General features: G+C 38.5%; 2 protein-coding genes across 12 annotated transcripts in view; one reads left to right on the top strand and one right to left on the bottom strand.

Annotated features, from left to right (window-relative positions):
- FAS (Fas cell surface death receptor) overlaps positions 1-19,078 on the bottom strand; it is a 53,010-nt gene extending 33,932 nt beyond the window's left edge. For 3 of the 5 annotated variants that reach the window (XM_011539765.3, XM_047425179.1, XM_047425180.1), the window contains exon 1: positions 116-211. In XM_011539765.3, coding sequence (XP_011538067.1) covers positions 116-196 — 81 coding nt within the window. In that variant the 5' untranslated portion in view covers positions 197-211. Of the gene's footprint in view, positions 1-115; positions 3,033-9,780 lie in introns of those variants that run through there. The other 2 variants (XM_006717819.4, XM_011539764.3) reach the window with 2 other exon arrangements.
- Positions 1-19,683, top strand: part of ACTA2 (actin alpha 2, smooth muscle) — a 56,264-nt gene that overhangs the window by 8,210 nt on the left and 28,371 nt on the right. The gene's annotated exons all lie outside the window — the stretch shown is intronic.

Below are 19,683 nucleotides of genomic sequence, written 5' to 3'. Positions count from 1 at the left end.
CACACTCTAACTCAGTGCATTTCAAACCTCAATATGGATATAAACTACCTGTCAATATTATTAAGATTAAGATTCTGATTCGGTAGGTCTAAGTATGAGGTTATGAATTTCTCACCAGCTCCCATGTGATGTTGATGCCACGTTCTGGAAAGGACACATGAAGTAGCAAGAGTCTTTGCTCAGGGAAACCACTCATCAGTTCGGTTGTTTACCTCAAACAGATAAGGACCAATTAACCCCACTTTTACCACTTTGGCCAGTTATATTATTATTACAGCATTTCTTTAGTGGTAGTAGATGGGAAATGTAGGGAAATCAACAAATTCAGTAATCTCATTATAAACATATTTGTATCCAGTCTCCATTTAGCTTCATATTACACTGCTTAGGCTGAATTTTTACTTAGCAGAAACAAGTCTTACTTGACTACATAAATACATTTTCCTATCAAGAAAAAGAAAAAAAAACTTAGTTCATTTTCAAAGACACTGAGCTTTTATTTCTGTGAACAGCAAGAAAACTGGCTAGAAGCCTGCTGACTCCCTCAGCCAATCAGGATAATGTGACCATAAATGTCCATGAATTCCCCCCTCAGTGAATCTCTGCCTTTTTTATTTCTGTCGTGGGACATGTATCTTACAGTTCTGTACCACATATTCTGCCATTTATGTCTTCCTTTCCTCATTTCAAAAAAAAAAAGAAAAAAACACATTTAAGCTCGGTGAGATCTCTTACCAAATAATCCATTGTCTTTTATGTTAAAAGCTGTTAACTTCATACACATGCAACTTTTAATTGCTTCTTAATGATAATACCTCTTCATTTAGATCACTTAGTATGAGCCAGGTACCATTTAGTGGGTTTTATAAATATGATTTCATTCAATGCTCATAAAAATCTTGGGAGGTAGGTCTTCTTATTGTGTGCACAATATAGGTGAAACAAACATGGGCCCAAGCACTTGAGGATCTTGCAGTAGTCACCCAACCAGTAAGCTGTAGAGCTGGGGTTTGAACCAAAGCAATTGCTTCTCGCATATAACAACATACTGCCTTCTTGAACTAACACATACCAGTTAATCAAGCACTCACTATGTGTTAGACCCTTTTATATATACTAACTTATTTAATTCTCATACCCACACCTACAGGGAAAGAATAACTTTCCTGATTCACATAGAGGTAACTCGATCAAGTTCATGTGTCAAGTAAAGGTATCAAGATTTGCTTGACTCTAAAGCCTGGGCTCTTTGCACAGTATCATGATAATGCCTGTCTTTTTAGTGAATGGGACGGTTTGCCTCATTGCTGTTTTTCATGGAAAGCCCATCTGAAACCTTTACATACCCACGAGCACAGACTGAAACACGTAGTATCTGGGACTGGGACTAAATTACTTTGCCCAATCTTTTATCTACCGTTTCCCCCATCCAGCCTCTCTCTCCCTCCCTACAGTGTTCCCTTCCCAGGATATGATGCGTCTCCCACTCTGCCCACCCCACTGCTTGTGGTACTGTTAACAAAGCAGCTGTTGGATTGAATTGGGAAATGTCCCTGTTTTGACCTTGGTTCTTCCTCTGTCCTAGGATCATACCTCTTCAATTTGCCTTCCTTTCCACGGATACTAGTCTAGACCTCACCCAAAATGAAATTTACTATCAACTTTTCCTGGTGTGAATATAGTTAAAAAGTATAAATCACGACGATGGAAGATAAAGCAATGGCCAGTTCTTTAAAAAAAAAAAGTCATTTCTCTCTTAACCCGATGGTTAATAAGTGGCTAATATTTATCAAGGGTTTAACTGCACAGGAAAAGTGCTTTATGCACACAATGTCTCATTTGATCCTCACCTAATCTTAACATCTAATATTATCCTCATTTTACAGATTAAGAAACATAGGTTAGGTGAGTTTAACTAATTTGCACACAGCGAGTATGTGGCAGAGCTCGAGTTAGGACACAGGTCTGGAGGCTCCACACTGAACACCCTGTGGACTGGCCCCGCTCTCTCTTGGATATTGCTGGGCCTGCCCTTTGCTTGTGCTGACTTCCTCGCAGTTGGCCTCCCCATGCCCTGTTCCTACTCTGTCATTCAAACATCCCCTCTGGAAGGACCCTATTCCTCCATAGTCCAAATCCCACTTTTCATATAAGGCAAACCAAAGCCTCCTCTGACTCACTTTATCCCTTTGTGACCTTTCCAAATTTAGAACTTTCTCAGCACTTTTGAGGAGGGAGTGAAACTGATTTGGCATTTGGAGTCTGGGAAAATTATCTCTCTCTTTTTAAATTTACATATCAGATAAATCCAGATTCATTTGGAATTGAGCTACCTCATTCTTTCTTATCATTGCCTTGTAACTGTACTTGACTTTATATGGCTCGAGTCTCATTCCTAATCAGAATGCAACTTGCTCCAGAGGGGGGACATTTTGGCCACTTTCTTTGAATGGAGGCTTTGAGCTTAAGTCTAAGATCCCAACAATTTTCCTTAACTAAACGAATACTTACGAGTACCTACTTTGTACCATGGACTGTGTTAGGCCTCAGGGAATAGCAGTAGGCAGGATAAGAACATTCCTTGCCTTCCTGGACTCTACAGATTACTGGGGATGACAAATTAGAGTAATTATAAGCATCAGGCCTGGCCTCTCTTTGCCTGTGAAATGCGTCTCTCTTTTGGCTCACCAGACACCACAGTTCTGGCTCTTATTTATCCCTGGCTGTTGCTTCCCTGTCACCTCCACTGTGGTTATGTTCAGCGTCCTGATGCTTGCTAATGTGCTCTCCTCAGTCCTCAGGTCCCCTAGCTTCAAAGAAGGCCTGAAGTGTCAACCATCACCTCTTCCCAGATGCTCTTCAAATCTATACCTCATGCCCTGACTTCTTAGTTGTACATTTAAAGTGCATTATGTTTAATTCCTGCTCATGTTCCACTCACCACCTTGAATTCTTATCGTGCCTAAAACTGAACTATTTCATTTCTGTCCAGACCAGAAGGGTGGGAAAAGTAGAAGTGGTGAACAAAACTTAAAAATTAATAAATGAAATAAAATTTCAAGTGGAAAGAAGTCCACTTTATCTTTCGGCTCAGCTGGCCATCTTCTGAAACTACAGACTTTGCAAATTAGCGTTGCCTTTTTCTGCATCTGTCAAGCTCCATAAATAGCTTGGAAGCTCTTTGAACGTAAGAACTATATCTTCTATTATTCCATTTTGCCAGGATCTACCCCAAAGCCTTTGTAGGTGCTTTACACATGTGTGAGGAGGTGTGTGGTGAGGACACAGGCACTAGAAATGACCTTTGCTGTTGCTCTCTGGATCCTCCTGGCATTTGATTAGAGAGTCAGGACTAAACAAATGGCTAGCAAATTATACAGTCAAGCACATGTAACCTTTTCTGATCGAATTGAGTTTAGATTTTGTCCTGATTTTTGATAGGAGGATCAAAACCATGGCATTTATGCTGTTCTCGCCCCATCTCTCAGGTTATGTAGACTTGTTAAAAAAAAAAAGTCATCATTAACAATTAAAAGAGAGGGAGAGTGAGAGAGAACAGCCCTAGTGTGAGACTCTCACATTCTCTTTCCCCATACTTCATTAGGGTTATTGCTGCCTACACTTATTACTGTTTAAAATCATCCCAAGATGAGTAGCCTACATTTTAAGGGTTCCTGACAATTATTTGGCCAGACTCTCATCTGTCCTGAATGCTGGCATCTTCTCCTTGTGAACGTCTCTCTTTGAAGTCAGCAGGAATCTGGTCTGTGGTGAGCCACAAGTCTTCCCTTCCTAGGAGCCAAGGCTGGCAAGGCACCCTGCGGCAGAGCCGGGAAACTCGCTGACCTCATTTTTTTTTTTCTGCTTTTTTGTCTCAGTACTCACTTTCTTCCCTTCCTTATCTCTCCTCCCCAGATCCCTACGCTCATACACAACATCATAACCCATTAAAACCAGCTTAGTAGAAGCTAAAGAATCTATAATTTTAATTGTACTTAATTTTTATCCATTTTGTTTTCAGTGTTTCAGGCAGTGGACAGTGTTTTTAAACATAAAAAGGTTTTCTGAGCTTTCAGTTTTCTGATTTATAAAACAAATATTAACAGAATAAACTTTATATGCTTATTAGGAGGATGAAAGGAGGTAATTCATAGAAAAGATGCTATGCAGTGCCAGAAACAGTAAATTCTTGATGAATATTAGTTCCTATTAATAATAATAATATAATAATAATAATAGAGAAGAGATCAAATTCAAGGACAGAAAGAATAAGGAAGGTTGCTTCTAATAGCTTCAGGTGTCATAGAAGGCTTTTTGGAGAAATTACCATTAGACGTGGAACAATTTAGCATGAATTTGTAGAAGAGAGGATTCATTTTAATAAACTCCCCCTCTCAGGGTGACCCAGACACCTAGACATCTTCAGTTCCCTGAAGTAGGGTGAGCTGGAGCCGTGGTGCAAATGAACTGAGCCTGGCTCATGACTAGACCCATCTCTCAGCATGAGCCTGACTGGTTGTCACTTCTTTCCATTGAGATTGGCTTTCAATAGAACAGAATCTTTTCTCTCTCTTACCACTTTCCAACAGGTCAGAGCAGGGGTGATGAAAGGCTGAGCAGAGTACAACAAATGTATTCACAGTTATGTTTTCTCAACTTCACCCACTTATGTGAAAAGGACAGTCAAGAGCTTATCTTAAATTTTATTTATTTATTTATTTATTTTTTATTATACTTTAAGTTTTAGGGTACATGTGCACATTATGCAGGTTAGTTACATATGTATACATGTGCCATGCTGGTGCGCTGCACCCACTAACTCGTCATCTAGCATTAGGTATATCTCCCGATGCTATCCCTCCCCCCTCCCCCCACCCCACAACAGTCCCCAGAGTGTGATATTCCCCTTCCAGTGTCCATGTGATCTCATTGTTCAATTCCCACCTATGAGTGAGAATATGCGGTGTTTGGTTTTTTGTTCTTGCGATAGTTTACTGAGAATGATGATTTCCAATTTCATCCATGTCCCTACAAAGGACATGAACTCATCATTTTTTATGGCTGCATAGTATTCCATGGTGTATATGTGCCACATTTTCTTAATCCAGTCTATCATTGTTGGACATTTGGGTTGGTTCCAAGTCTTTGCTATTGTGAATAATGCTGCAATAAACATACGTGTGCATGTGTCTTTATAGCAGCATGATTTATAGTCCTTTGGGTATATACCCAGTAATGGGATGGCTGGGTCAAATGGTATTTCCAGTTCTAGATCCCTGAGGAATCGCCACACTGACTTCCACAATGGTTGAACTAGTTTACAGTCCCACCAACAGTGTAAAAGTGTTCCTATTTCTCCACATCCTCTCCAGCACCTGTTGTTTCCTGACTTTTTAATGATTGCCATTCTAACTGGTGTGAGATGGTATCTCATTGTGGTTTTCATTTGCATTTCTCTGATGGCCAGTGATGATGAGCATTTTTTCATGTGTTTTTTGGCTGCATAAATGTCTTCTTTTGAGAAGTGTCTGTTCATGTCCTTTGCCCACTTTTTGATGGGGCTGTTTGTTTTTTTCTTGTAAATTTGTTTGAGTTCATTGTAGATTCTGGATATTAGCCCTTTGTCAGATGAGTAGGTTGAACGCCGCATATCTACAACTATCTGATCTTTGACAAACCTGAGAAAAACAAGCAATGGGGAAAGGATTCCCTATTTAATAAATGGTGCTGGGAAAACTGGCTAGCCATATGTAGAAAGCTGAAACTGGATCCCTTCCTTACACCTTATACAAAAATCAATTCAAGATGGATTAAAGACTTAAATGTTAGACCTAAAACCATAAAAACCCTAGAAGAAAACCTAGGCATTACCATTCAGGACATAGGCATGGGCAAGGACTTCATGTCTAAAACACCAAAAGCAATGGCAACAAAAGCCAAAATTGACAAATGGGATCTAATTAAACTACAGAGCTTCTGCACAGCAAAAGAAACTACCATCAGAGTGAACAGGCAACCTACAAAATGGGAGAAAATTATCTTAAATTTTTTAACAATTCAGTCCACACAAGCATTAATTCATTAGATGTCAAAATAGCAGAAAATAAGCTTCTCCTTTGGGATATGTAGGCATACATTTTGCTGCTAATCTAAAGGAATCTGGGGAATGTGGGCAAAAATTACCTTCACCAGATATAAGGATCTCAAGCACAATGCAACTTCTCTACAAACATCAGCATTGGTTTGAGCCTCTAAGAAGCTCTAATAATATTTAATGAAAGAATTATTTTATTCAATTTTCAAACTTCAACTCTACCCAGCACCTGGACCTTTACATTTGGTTTTATTTAGTAAAAATACTTTCAAGAAATTCTGTTCAACACTTTATTTCTATCATAGCTTCTTAATTATGAATACAATTTTGTTAATTTAAAATTATAATCATCTGTCTCAATAGTTGGTGTGTATTTTAAAATAACACAATATCATTGAATTGCTGCTGATTATGTTCAGGGTACATTAGAGATATGTTAGTCATTTTCAATTTAGTGGAAAGGAAGTGGGTTTTTGCTATAGAACTACAAAATTTTAGGGTCAAAACACTTGAATTAGTTCAGTACAATGGAAGGACTATTCAAATGTAATTAATGTACTAATTTTCTCCATTTTCCGTGATCCTCATAATGAACCAATATATTTTCCTTGGCCTATCAATCCTTTTGTTAGAGACTAAATAGTTTCCCCTTGTTTACTCTGGCATTTGTGATAATATCAATATATTAATTATATGTTATCTATTATACCAACCTTGTCCAACCCACGGCCCGTGGGCCACATGCAGCCCAGGATGGCTTTGAATGCAGCCCAACACGAATTCGTAAACTTTCTTAAAACATTATGAGATTTTTGGCGATTTTTTTTTTAGCTCATCAGCTATAGTTAGTGTTAGTGTATTTTATGTGTGGCCCAAGACAATTCTTAGTCTTCCAATGTGGCCCAGGGAAGCTAAAAGATTGGACACCCCTGTATTACACATTATATTATCACTATAACTAATTGATAATAGTAATGTATGGTTGGGTCCTAATCGGGATGGGACATAAGATTCAGTGGCTGGGTCATTTGACCTTGCCTCAAACTTGAAAGAGACATCAGATTTTGGTGACAATTAATTTGTCAGCCAAATGAAGAGGAAAGAAATTTGGCTTCTATTAATCTCACTGCATAGTATTATGGTATAACACAATGGGAGTAGTACTGTATACTGATAGTGCACTAAAAACTCCCCGAATCTAAGCATAGAGGACAGATTCAATGGAGGTGAGCCTCAAAAGCTCAAGTCACCAAGTCACCTCCTGCTCTGTCAAGTATCTCCTGGTTTGTGGCCTTTCTTTAATTCTCGAATATTTATTAAGAGGCCAATATGTGCCAGGCACTGTTTTATGACCTGGAGGCGCAGCATTGACCAACATTGAAAAAAAAAAATCCTACTCTCATGGAACTTACGATCCAGTGGAAAAGTAGTCAGGGCCCCATTTTCCTAAGCCCAGAGCCCACACATTTATTTGCTGATAGTTCCCTTTGCTCTCCATGCCCCTTCCTGTACCATCTCTACTGTTCCACCTGATTCTTTACGTATTGGAGAACTGGGAAAGCAGGAATGACAGGAAAATTGTTATTATGTCTAGTCTGTAATAAGAAAAAAACAAACACTTTCAGGTACTTTCAGTTTTTAAAAAGTATGACAGTACTATTGTCCTTCTCAACTAATTTTTCTGCATGGAGCTAATACCTCATTCAAATGCACACGCTGCTCTGTACACGGTTTCTTCCGCCTCTGATTTATCTCCTTCCTTTTGTATAAATTTAGCAATCTTTTCCTCACAAACCTTAAAATAGCCAAGCATTCAAAGATTTGGAAAATGTAGAGGCAGTATCATTGTTTGCTCTTGCTTGAGAGTTTTTTTTTTTTTTAATCGTTGACAGCATTCTGGTTTCACTTTCACTTCAGTGGGTAATTTAATGTGATACTAATACAACCTGTAATAACAGTTAAATGCATGGAGCACGAACTACATGCTAGAAATTACAGTAAACAATTTGCATCATCTAACTGAATTTCCAAAATAAACTTATTATTTTCCTCACTTTAAATATGCCTTTTGAGAGGTGAAGTAAATGGCCCAGAGTCACAAGCCAGCAAGTGGCTGATCTGTACAGTATTACAGTGATCTAGCATTTAGGATTTAGAGCGCTATATAGTACTATAGTGATCTCAGCTCATCTAACTGCAGGGCCACGTTCCACATATTTTTTGGCCCCACAATATTAGAGCATTAATCAGGATCCCAAAAATGCTTCCTAATTAGAGTGAAAGAGATTTATTTTATCAAACAAAGTCTTAAGTGAACTATGCCAAAGTCAATGATCTGGTGGAATTCACAGAAATGTTTGTATTACTTAATAACCATTAACTAGCCAGGCATGGTGGCTCATGCCTATAATCTCAGCACTTTGGGAAGCTGAGATGGGAGGACAGCTTGAGGCCAGGAGTTCAAGATCAGCCTGGACAATATAGTGAGACCTTGTTACTATTAAAATAAATAAATAAATAACTGATCTCACTGGCTACAAGAGGAATTCATTTTTTAAAAGACCACCAACATTTAATAAATTGCATTCTCTAGCAATTGCTTTTTTCATATTTTTCAACTAATTGGGTAGGAATTTAGTTTCAATATCACTTTTAATACATAAAGTACCAATTTGAAGTGCAAAATCTTTAGACATCTATTTTGGGGAAAATGTCAAGAACATTTTTCTATTTGGCATTGGTTCACCAAATTGAGTCCTTGAGAGCCTGATTTTTTTTTTTTTCACCAAAGAGTCAAGCCAAATGAAATTCCACCCACGTTAGTCAGGGTATATTTCTGGGTCCTCTCAATGTCTGGTTTAGTTCTAGTTTTAAAATTTAAGAAGAATTTAAAGCTCTGGAGACATGTATTTATGTAAATACACAAAACAGAGGCAGGGCACAGTGGCTCATGTCTGTAATCCCAGCACTTTGAGAGGTCCAGGCGGGTAGATCATCAGAGGTCAGGAATTCGAGACCACCCTGGCCAACAGGGTAAAACCCCATCTCTACTAAAAATACAAAAATTAGCTGGGCGTGGTGGTGCACGCCTGTAGTCCTCGCTACTCGGGAGGCTGAGGCATGAGAATCGCTTGAACCTGGGAGGTGGAGGTTGCAGTGAGCTGAGACTGTGCCACTGCACTCCAGCCTGGGCGACAGAGTGAGACTCTGTCTCATAACAAAAACACACAAGACATAGAGGTAAATATTTATGTATGCAAATATATATACCTGTTAATATTTGGCCTGGCAAAAACAGTTTGCTAGATGATTTTTTTGGAAAAGGCTTTGGTTCAGTAGCAGAAATGAATATGGGTGTTATTCAAATGTCTGTAAATTAATGAGGGCCCTTTGAGGTTAGTTCAGCTTAAGCATTTTGAATCTGAAGAATGAATGGTCTATGTTAAAGATGCTTTTGGGGAATGGGAAGTGGTGACAAACACAACATTGCATCCCAAACAGAGCCAAGGTGACAGGGTACCTGGCCTCACATCCATGAGTACTTGAGAAACTGATAATCAAGATGAAATGACGTGTTTTTCTTTAGAAAGGAAAGGCAGAGATAATGGCTAACAAGAAAGAGTTGTTTTCATCGGGAACTCTATGAAAGATTTTCACAATTGTTCGCCTGGCAATTCTTGGATTACCTAATCACCTTCTCCATTCCACTTCTTGTCTCTCTCAGAGCTGTTCAGATGGTGATGATGACCTAGAGATCCCCAAGAGTGGGAATCCATTTGGTCCATAGCCAATTTTCAGGGGCTCCATCTCCAAAGCAGTGCCAGAAATTATCCCAGAAAGGAATTTCTGAATCTATAGGTCACACAGAAGAAAGGGAAGGTGAGAGGATTGGGAGGCAAGGCCCAGGAAAAATTAAAATAGAAAAATAAAACATAGAAGTTAAAATTATTTTTTGAAAGACTAAGTACTTACAAGGTTAGCTTTTAAAATAAAACAACTACAAACTCTAAATGGTTTCAATTTTGCTTTAGTATTCTGCAGTGTTTCTTTTCAATAGATTGGCCCTCACATATAAACACATACACATACACAAACACAATCTTTATATTTGCCATCTAAAACACCTAGTATCCTACAAAATTACCTGTAAGAGTCTCAGTTAAGTAGACACTGGAAAAACAATCAGAAACAGATTAAAAGATAAATGGGGTCTCACTTTGATAGCACATATAGTTAACTAGAAACAACGCAGAGAAAAAGTAAAAATCATACCATTGTATGAGGCTTATAATATACATTATAATGGGATGAACAAGGGTAAAATCGATTTATACATTTGTAAGGTTACAGTAATTTCCATGAAGTAGATGGTGAGTATTTAAGGATGTATATTGTAATCCCTAGAGCAACTTTGTAAAAATAATGCCAAAAGATATAGTTAAAAAGCTAATAGATAAATTACAATGAAATTTAGAAAAAAAATTAAACAATATAAAAGAAGGCAGGAGAGAAGAAAGAGAACAACAAAAAAGGCAAAAAATAAAAATAGATCAAAGAACAGTAAATCTAAATCGAACTGTATCAAATATTACATTAAATATTAACAGACTAAAAATAAAAGGAGATCAATTTTTTTCCTAAACTCCCTGTTCTCAAAACTCCTTTTGTGACATCAATTACTATTACAAATAACAGTTACCAATCCCTTAATTTCCTGCTGCCTGAAGACAAGACAATAGCTGAATTTACACTCCTCTCCCCTTAATCGTTAGCAATTGAGGACCTTGTTTCATTTCATTTTAAATGGCCAGTTAATAAGTAGTCCCTGGCTGGGCGTGGTGGCTCATGCCTGTAATCTCAGCACTTTGGGAGGCTGAGGCGGGTGGATCACAAGGTCAAGAGATTGAGACCATCCTGGCCAACATGGTGAAACCCTGTCTCTACTAAAAATACAAAAATTAACTGGGCGTGGTGGTGTGAGCCTGTAGTCCCAGCTCCTTAGGAGACTGAAGCAGGAGAATAGCATGAACTGGGGAGGCAGAAGTTGCAGTGAGCTGAGATCACGCCTCTGCACTCCAGCCTGGCGACAGAGCAAGACTCCATCTAAAAAAAAAAAAAAAAGTAGTCCCCTTGGACAGCAGCCTTCTAGCGCTTCAGAAACTATAAATTTGGCTTAAATAAACTGTTAGGCAAACTGTAGATCTGCTCACCATCAGAGCATCACCCTCTGAACACCAATTCTTGGCTGCTTTCTAGGGAGAAAATATGCAGGAAGGACAAAAAGAGGGATATTGCACAAATTGCTAAAGCCATTACATGCTAGGACTCCTGTTTGTATTATAGTCTTACACGTGTCCTATTAGTTACAAAAAGATAGCAACAAAAAAGAGCAGCAAAAGAACTCTTAAAGTGGTTGGCATTATGACTTTTATTATAAGAAAAAAAGGCAAATCCAAATCATCTAAAAAAGGAAGGAGTTAGTCAAATGACAAAATCTGGATCTAAACCTGTATCAGATGGGATTTGAGGAAATATGTCTGCCACTCATTCTTAGCTTATTCTGTTTACCCAAACACTCAGATCCTAACTTGAATTTAAATGGGCCGTGTTGCCAAAGACTGCAACAGAATCAGATGGCTCCATGCCATTGGCACCCTTTACAAAACACAAAACATACTGCATGAAGTTTTCTCATTTTGTGTTTGTGTTTGTCCTTAGCTGTACTTATTTTATCAAGTTAACTCTTTGAGGATGAAAAACAGATACATCATCTGTTACTTCACACACTTAGAGATGAGATACTCATTTAAGTAGCAGAAGTTGTGAACTTTAGGAAAAGTGAGGTCAAGAAAAATATCTGCCTTTTCCAGCTCAAATGCTTGGTACAAACTTTTTCTGCCCAAATCTACAATTGGCTAAGCATTGCTTGAAAATCAGACGCCATTATTCGGGAAAATGTCTATTATTTGTGCCATCTGTAGATCATGACAGAAGACAAGGTTTGCCTTTACATCTTAGTATTATTTTATTTATTGCCTTTGGGCGGAGGAATCTGAATGTCAGACATGAGTTCAGACATTATTTTTGTCAGTTTTTGGATGTATAAATATTAAGTGGGGAATTCTTTATATATATACACACACACACACACACACACACTTTTTTATTATACTTTAAGTTCTAGGGTACATGTGCACAACGTGCAGGTTTGTTACATATGTATACACGTGCCATGTTGGTGTGCTGTACCCATTAACTTGTCATTTACATTAGGTATATCTCCTAATGCTATCCCTCCCCGCTCTCCCCACCCCACAACAGGCCCCGGTGTGTGATGTTCCTCTTCCTGTGTCCAAGTGTTCTCATTGTTCAATTCCCAACCATCATTCTCAGCAAACTATTGTAAGGATAAATGGGGAATTCTAATGCTGTGCCAACTGTCTAATTTCTGGACTATCTAAATGCAATTTTAGTATTCTGGTTGAATGTCCTTCTTCCTACCTCCTAGCATTCACTACCTCTCTGAGTTGTGAGTAGCTAGAACCAGACCTATTCAGGTAGTCTCAGCACTAACTGAACGCCCTCCTCAACAAGCAGGGGCCTAAGCTCCTATGAAGCTGGATAAAAGTGAAATGGAAGTCAGAAAAGGGCACAGCAATTTGCTGCATTCAAAAGGAACTCAGCGAAGAGGACAGACAATCAGGTCAATAAGACTTTACTGGAATTTCTGGGTGGTTCTGGAAGGTGGAATACAAGGGAGAGATTGAAGAGCTGTTTCTTGAGATGGAAACGTCCAAAGACCTCCTTAAACAGGGTAGTGACTTTGCCTATGAGTAGAGAAAAAGTTGGTAGGTGCCTTGATCCAAGTACAGTAAAACCTTTCTTTAGGTATCATATCCTGAATTTTAACATTAAGTATAAGGGATTTATGGACTGCTTGAATATTAGAAACATTGTTCTATCTCTAAAACCCATCTAAATTCATTTTTCTTTCCAGTTATCAGTGTGGTTACATCTGACGTCTGCCATGAGCAATTTTTTCCAAAAAGTGTTTATTTTATGAAGAGTTAGAGGCATTCATTCATTCGTTCATTCATTCATTCAACATAAAGGCCTTGGCAGAGTTTACAATTTAACAACATCCTTGCAAGAGATATTTACTGAGCCCCTCCTATCCCTTAGGCACTGTGCTAGATACTGGGATATGATGGTGAACAATCAGTGTCCCTTCCCTAGGCTGGTGAGGAAGATGTATACGAATGAAATAATTGTATCAAATGTATTACTACAAACTACAGTAAGTACTATGAAGGAAAGATAGAGTGCTATTAACGTATATGAAAAGATATAGTTGGGAGGATGATATGGTGGTCAGAGGAGGTTTCTTTCCTTGAGAAACTGGTCATCCCAGAGAGCCAGAAACAATTTGAGTAGGAGTAAACCAGCCAAAAAAAAAAGTGATCTTGATGCTGCAAACATAAAACTGATCTAAAAAATAGTCTGTTTGAAAAATGATCATGACAGATGGAGCCTAAAGCTCTGAAAGTCTCCTTTGCACAACAGAGACTATGCCAATGGGGGCATGCTTTCTTTGGATTTGTAGGCTTTTTCAAATAGAGACATCAAAAGCAGAGTGACCATTCAGCCTTACAAGCATGAGTTTGGGCACAGCTGATGCCCTAAGGCATAGCAGAATGTGGAAATACTCACTTCTTCCAAAGATTTTTTTTTGATGGAAAATTGACACTAAAGAGCTTTTTTTGGGAAATGAAAGAAATGGCAAGGTAATTTGGACATTACGGAAATCTATGCTGATCCTATGGGAATAACAATGTGTTCCAATTTCCCCCATTCTCACTGCTTAAGATTATACTTCTTGCCTCAATAATCAAGATCCTACTTATAAAAGTGTTTGTCTTGAGTATTATTTAATAAGAGAGAAAAAAACACAAAGTTGTAATACAACCCAGATAACAGCTTTCCAGACCCTTCCTTCTTATTTAGGAGGATCTTCTACCTAAACACATTTTTCATCTCTGTGTAGTATTGCGGGGTGGGGGTTGGGGGGAGACATCAAATAATGTAATGTTTTATGAATACCAAACCTACACAAAGTTCTGAAAGACAGAAACTTTTCCAATTCTAGATCCTCCACATCTACTTTCCAAGAAGAAGGCTTTAAAAGGGATGAATAAGGTATAAGGGACCTGCAGAATCTCTTTAACATGCACACATTATGGTACTAGAAAAGAGGACAGAAATGCCTATATCAACAGCTGCCTCTAACATTTTTAGCAGAGCCTCATTCCAGGCCAGCCAGTGAGAATTAAGGAGGAAAAGGCTTTCAGTGATTCAGAAGCTGCCTTCCCTTATAAAGTCAAGGTTCTCTGGAGTGGTATTTTGACTACTTTTGGAGGAGGGATTGCCTACATCCACTTCTCTAAAGAAGCCAGAATTTTCTCTTCCTCTCTACCAAAAAAGTACTCTACCGACAAACATGTGTGCAAAATGCACTGTGCCTGCATTCCTTCAGGTCAGCAGAGTGCCCGTGTTACCAACATTCACAGCTGGTTTTGGGATAAAGTTATTGTTGTCATGGATTCAGGAAAACAAACATGGTTTTAATTGCTCCATTATGAGTTTTAAACCCAAGATGATCAAAAACCCTGCATATAGATTTGTCCAGCTCCCATCGCTGAAAGGAATCACCTGTATTACATATGCTGGCTACAAAATAAGAACATTCATTAAATGCATAGATAGGACCACTCAAAACATAATTAGGTGTCTGGTTAGTCAAATATTCTGGATAAATGAGGATGTCTATACGTAACATTTCTGAGTTACCAGTTTTTAGCGATTTAAATACAAATTAAATATGCAAAATACAAGTTAAATACATATAACTGCAAACACAGAAACTACTGAATTGAATAGTTTACTTCTGCAGAAATGTCAAGACCATGACAACACACCTTAAGGTCACAAGTAGAAAACTCTAATTACTGTTATATGTTACAGAAAAAAAAAAGGACTTTTATCTGGTTACTATAGTTGTTTGATTTCTGGATAAGCCATAAACTTGAAGTATGATAATCATACTAACAAACTCTTGAGATATCATTCATGTAAAATTCAAATTCATATTTATTTCAAGTAGTTTCTCCAGAGGAAGAAAGGGAACAACTTTGCCAACCATTTTCCTGTTTTAAATTTAGGGATGATTGAAATGAGTTCTGGTGTGTGAGCCATCATTTATTCTGAACCTGCTGATGTAATTCACAGATTCAGCCCATTTTCCTTGTATTGGTCTTTACCAGACATGGCTTACAGTAACAAAATCATGAAACAAAATATTCTATTTTATATGTTCATCTTCTGTCTTTGAAAGTTCAAGAAACAAGGGCTCTGATACCTGATTTGGTTAGTGTTTGAAGGTTGCCAAGCTGCGTTGCAGGTAATAATTTGGGCTTAGGTAACGTGGATTGTCATAAAATGCATGTAAGCATGGGTTAGTGCTGAGGAATAGAATATTGAAAGTCACCAGAATTCAGTATTCCACTGTATTCTCGCATCTGTCCTCATCGCCACCTGATGAAGCAGGTGTTACATCCTTCTCATTTTATAGATGAAAAAACTGAGGTGAGATGCTAGATGATTTGCCAAGGGACTCAAAATAAATTGTTGAAAACTGGGATATGAATCCAACCTACCTCCAGAGTCCATACTCTTGCCCCTACCTGATGATGCCTTTTATCATAGGTAATAAGAGTCTTGTCCTGTTCCAACTATCTCAAATTCCAATCAGGTTTAAAGAACTGGGAGCTCTTCAGTATAAAATTACCCTATAGGGTCTCAATTTTGTTGGAAAAGGAAGTGAATGCTTTGAATTCCAAGTTGCAGCTTTTAAAATTCTTGATGCATCCAAAGATATCTCGAGGGTCTCTTCCTGTTCACTTTCTTTTCTAGGGGCTAAAGTATGTCTGAAGCTAAAATAAGTGTTGTATAAACTCCCAGGCTGATCTTGGCACACAGCCTGCCCTCTTGGCGCTGTTTGAGCCGTGTTGCTCTTTATGGGATCTTCTCACTCAAGCCTCAGGATCTCCTAATGGTATCCTAAGCTTCCAGTGCTTCCCATGTCACTCTGGACAACAAGGATTTAAACACCACCTGACACCTAATATCTGACCTAATTAATCCAAATTTGAGTGACAACTGATAATCTGATTGGCACTTAATAGTTTTCAAAACATTTGAGCAGGTTACGTCTTTGACCTGCTCAGGAGCCCTGAAAAGTGGTGGCTGGCAAGTGCCATTGTCATTTTGCAGATGAGGAAACTGATATGCAGGTGATTGCCCAAACACAGACAGCCAGTAGATGAGGAGATCATGGTTCCCGGGACAGAATTTTAGGCACTCTGTCTAAGTCATGCTTTCCTTTTGTGAAACTATCAACCTCTTCTGCTTATTACCTCACAGACGCCACAGATAAACAGAAGAGTTTATACTGCCTATTTATATTTTCAAATTCAATATTTCAATCAGAAATTGTTAGAGGTAGACAGGATATTAAAATAATAGGCCCACACACTTATAGATTACAAAATGAGGGCCAAAGGGCTTAGTGAACTCTTCAAAGCCACACAGACAATCAGAGGCAGGGCCTAAAATAGAATGCAGGCCCACAGTCCTGTCCAATCCCCTTCCCTGTCTATAAATCTGCTCTCCATTCTGTTCTCTGAGGACATAAGCCTGGGATCCTATAATCTAACAAGAAAAAGCTATGATAATATTGATGAAGATCATTCCTTACTATTCTTCTGTATTTTTGAGACTTCAGTATCACATTCCCTTCTTACCCTCTGTCCAAGTGCTTCTGTGTGGCTCTTGTTTAAATGCAGATCTCTAGGCCCCATGCCAGAAATCCTGGCTCAGGTGAGCCCCAGGAATGTATTAGGACCCTTACTTTCAATGGCAAAAACCGTGATTACTTTTGCACCAACCTAATACATTTTAACAAATTGCCCAAGTGATTCTGTTGACCATGGTTCCGTAAATTCAGGCCATGCTTTAGGAAACTCTGCTCTAACTCACCATTTTCAAGGACTGGAGTGGAAAAAAACATTGGTGTACCTCATTTAAGGAATATTTATTTTTGGCAGGGCTCTCTCAAAAGTTAGTCATTACGGTGATCAATAATTAGTTAAAAGCAAATCAGCCCAAACCAGCAGTGGATCATAAAATTGACACTCTTCCATGGAGTCTGCTGTTTCTTTAGTAAGGGGCTCTTTGCTCAGCAATCCCTGGGAAAATCTGTGCTTTGCAGAAACGCAGGGGAAAGCATGATGGTCACCCTTGGATGCTTTGCATTATAATGGCTTGACCTTGCAACTATGGTTCAACCTGTTTGCCCGAGGACCTCTGTTCTGTGCATTGGCTTTTGGTGGTCGATATGTTGGTATACCTAATGTGTTTGACCTCCTAAGGCAAGTACACTAGGCAGCCGCGTGCTGCTTAAGGAAAATAGGGCAAGGCTTTTATGTTATAATAATCCTGAAATGTGCTAAAGAAAGCCTACAGCCAGAGAATGTCCCTTATCTTATGCATCTTATCTGTTCTTTCCTTAAAATAAATTAGGGAAACTTTCTGAAACTAACAACGTCTGAGATGGTCATTGCAGACAGCTCTTTTAAGGTTTGGGGAAAATAGAAAGTTGCTTAACCAAATTCCTGAGTTTCTACTATATGTAGAAGGGCAGGGTGCCCTAAGGGAAAAATGAACACACTGGCTGCCTCCAAAAGTTTACAACCTAATGGTGAATATACTGCAAATGTGAGAAAATATAAGAGCTTACATCAAGTAAGTGTGCTGATGAAATCACTGGAGTGATTGGAGCATTCTCCCTGTAGAAAAAATGCATCTAAGAAGGTTTGCTGTAGATGAATTTTGAGTAGACTTTTAAAATAAGGCAGAAACATGATTTGGCAGAAGAAGAAAAGGGAAGCTATCCCCGGCTCTGGAAATAGAATACACAGGGCTGGACTATATGAATTTGTGTGTTGTGGGGAAGGAGGAAACTTAAGACACTAAAAATGTTTGTAAAGCTTGGAGTGAAAGTTGCAAAGGAGCAGCAAACAGGAGGGCAGAGGAAAAACAGGCGGGCAAAAGAAAGTTACAAAGGAGCAGCAGAACGGGTGCCTCCTTTGAATGACCATGCTTTCATAATACCTTAATTTGTACAGCTGCAAACAGGGAAGGAGACCAGTTGGTACAAGATATGTAGATACTTTTTGCTGAAGGGTAGCTGAATATGCCACCCCAAAATATGCCTCTCTGGCATAAGGATTATTTTGGGTTGAAAGCAATCGAGAAGTAGATACAAAAAATCTCTCTGCCCTACCCCTATTTGCTTAAAAGCAGGACATACACTTATAAAGGTGTCCCTCCTTCCCTCTCTACCAAGAAGGACAAAGGTTGATCACCAGGGATGACCTTAGGCCCTTGCTTGCCTGAAGATGGCACAGGGAAATCTACATAACAGACTTTACTATATAACCTTTTGTCTATCATTAGTTTCCCATGTATTTGTTTTCCCACAATTTGCCACCCCTAGAAACTCAAGATCCTTTCCCCTTGTCTTGTTACTTCCCCACCAATGTGTTGTTCTTTGTTGATGATGCCACATAAACCAGAGTTCTAAGCCACTTCTTTGAGAATTGCTCATTCCCTGGGTATCTCCCATATATACGTGAAGCCTATTTGTTAATAAACTTCTGTTCGCTTTTTTCTTTTTCATCTGCCTTTTTTTGCAGGGGTTCCAGATAAGAATTCGGAAGAATAGAGAGAGAATTCTTTTTTCCTCCCATACAATGCAAAATATGTGAAACTAAACTAAAATATATTAAACTAAAGTAAATATATGAAACTAAAGTAAACTAAAATATATAACAAAATACACAAATTATAGAATAAAATAAAAAAATATAAAAACATATGAAACTAAACCAAAGTAAAGTAAACTAATATAGAACTAAACTTAGGTAGGGCCTGTTAGGAAAACTAGGAATACAAAATTAGACGCCAAAGTAGGAAAGAGCCTTTTAGTCTAGCTAAAAGAGGATTAGAAACTGTAGCATTGTAATAAAGTGTGGACATGCAGAAAAAAAGACAAGTTTAAGAAAACCTGCCGGAATGTATAGCTAAACAAAGACTGTACATCCCATCCTGGTTCTTTACAAGCCAAACACGGATATTAGTTTGATTACTCCAGAACCTACTTCTTTTTTGACCCAAAATGGTAATGCCCAAGCTTGTCAACTCACCTTCTTCACTAGCCTCCAATGAGAATGGCATTTGGCTGCAGACAAAAATCAAATTCACCCTCCAGGGACAGAGACGTGCCAACACTACAGTGATCCAAAAGTATTTGCTATTGGTTTAAATAGGTCCAGAGATCTGAGCATTGGTAAGCATTGCTGAAACTGCTGAACTTCCCAGAGTGACCTCTAGGAGAGGGACAAAAAATGTCTTGACTAAATAAAATAAGGTGAGTGTAAAAAATTTAAAATTCTCATGAGATTCTAGTCATC

The sequence above is a fragment of the Homo sapiens genome, chromosome 10, assembly GCF_000001405.40.
Source record: "Homo sapiens chromosome 10, GRCh38.p14 Primary Assembly".
In the NCBI taxonomy this organism is placed as follows: Eukaryota; Metazoa; Chordata; class Mammalia; order Primates; family Hominidae; genus Homo; species Homo sapiens.
The sequence above is the reverse complement of the archived record's forward strand: the minus strand, read 5'-3'. Positions and strand labels throughout refer to the sequence as shown.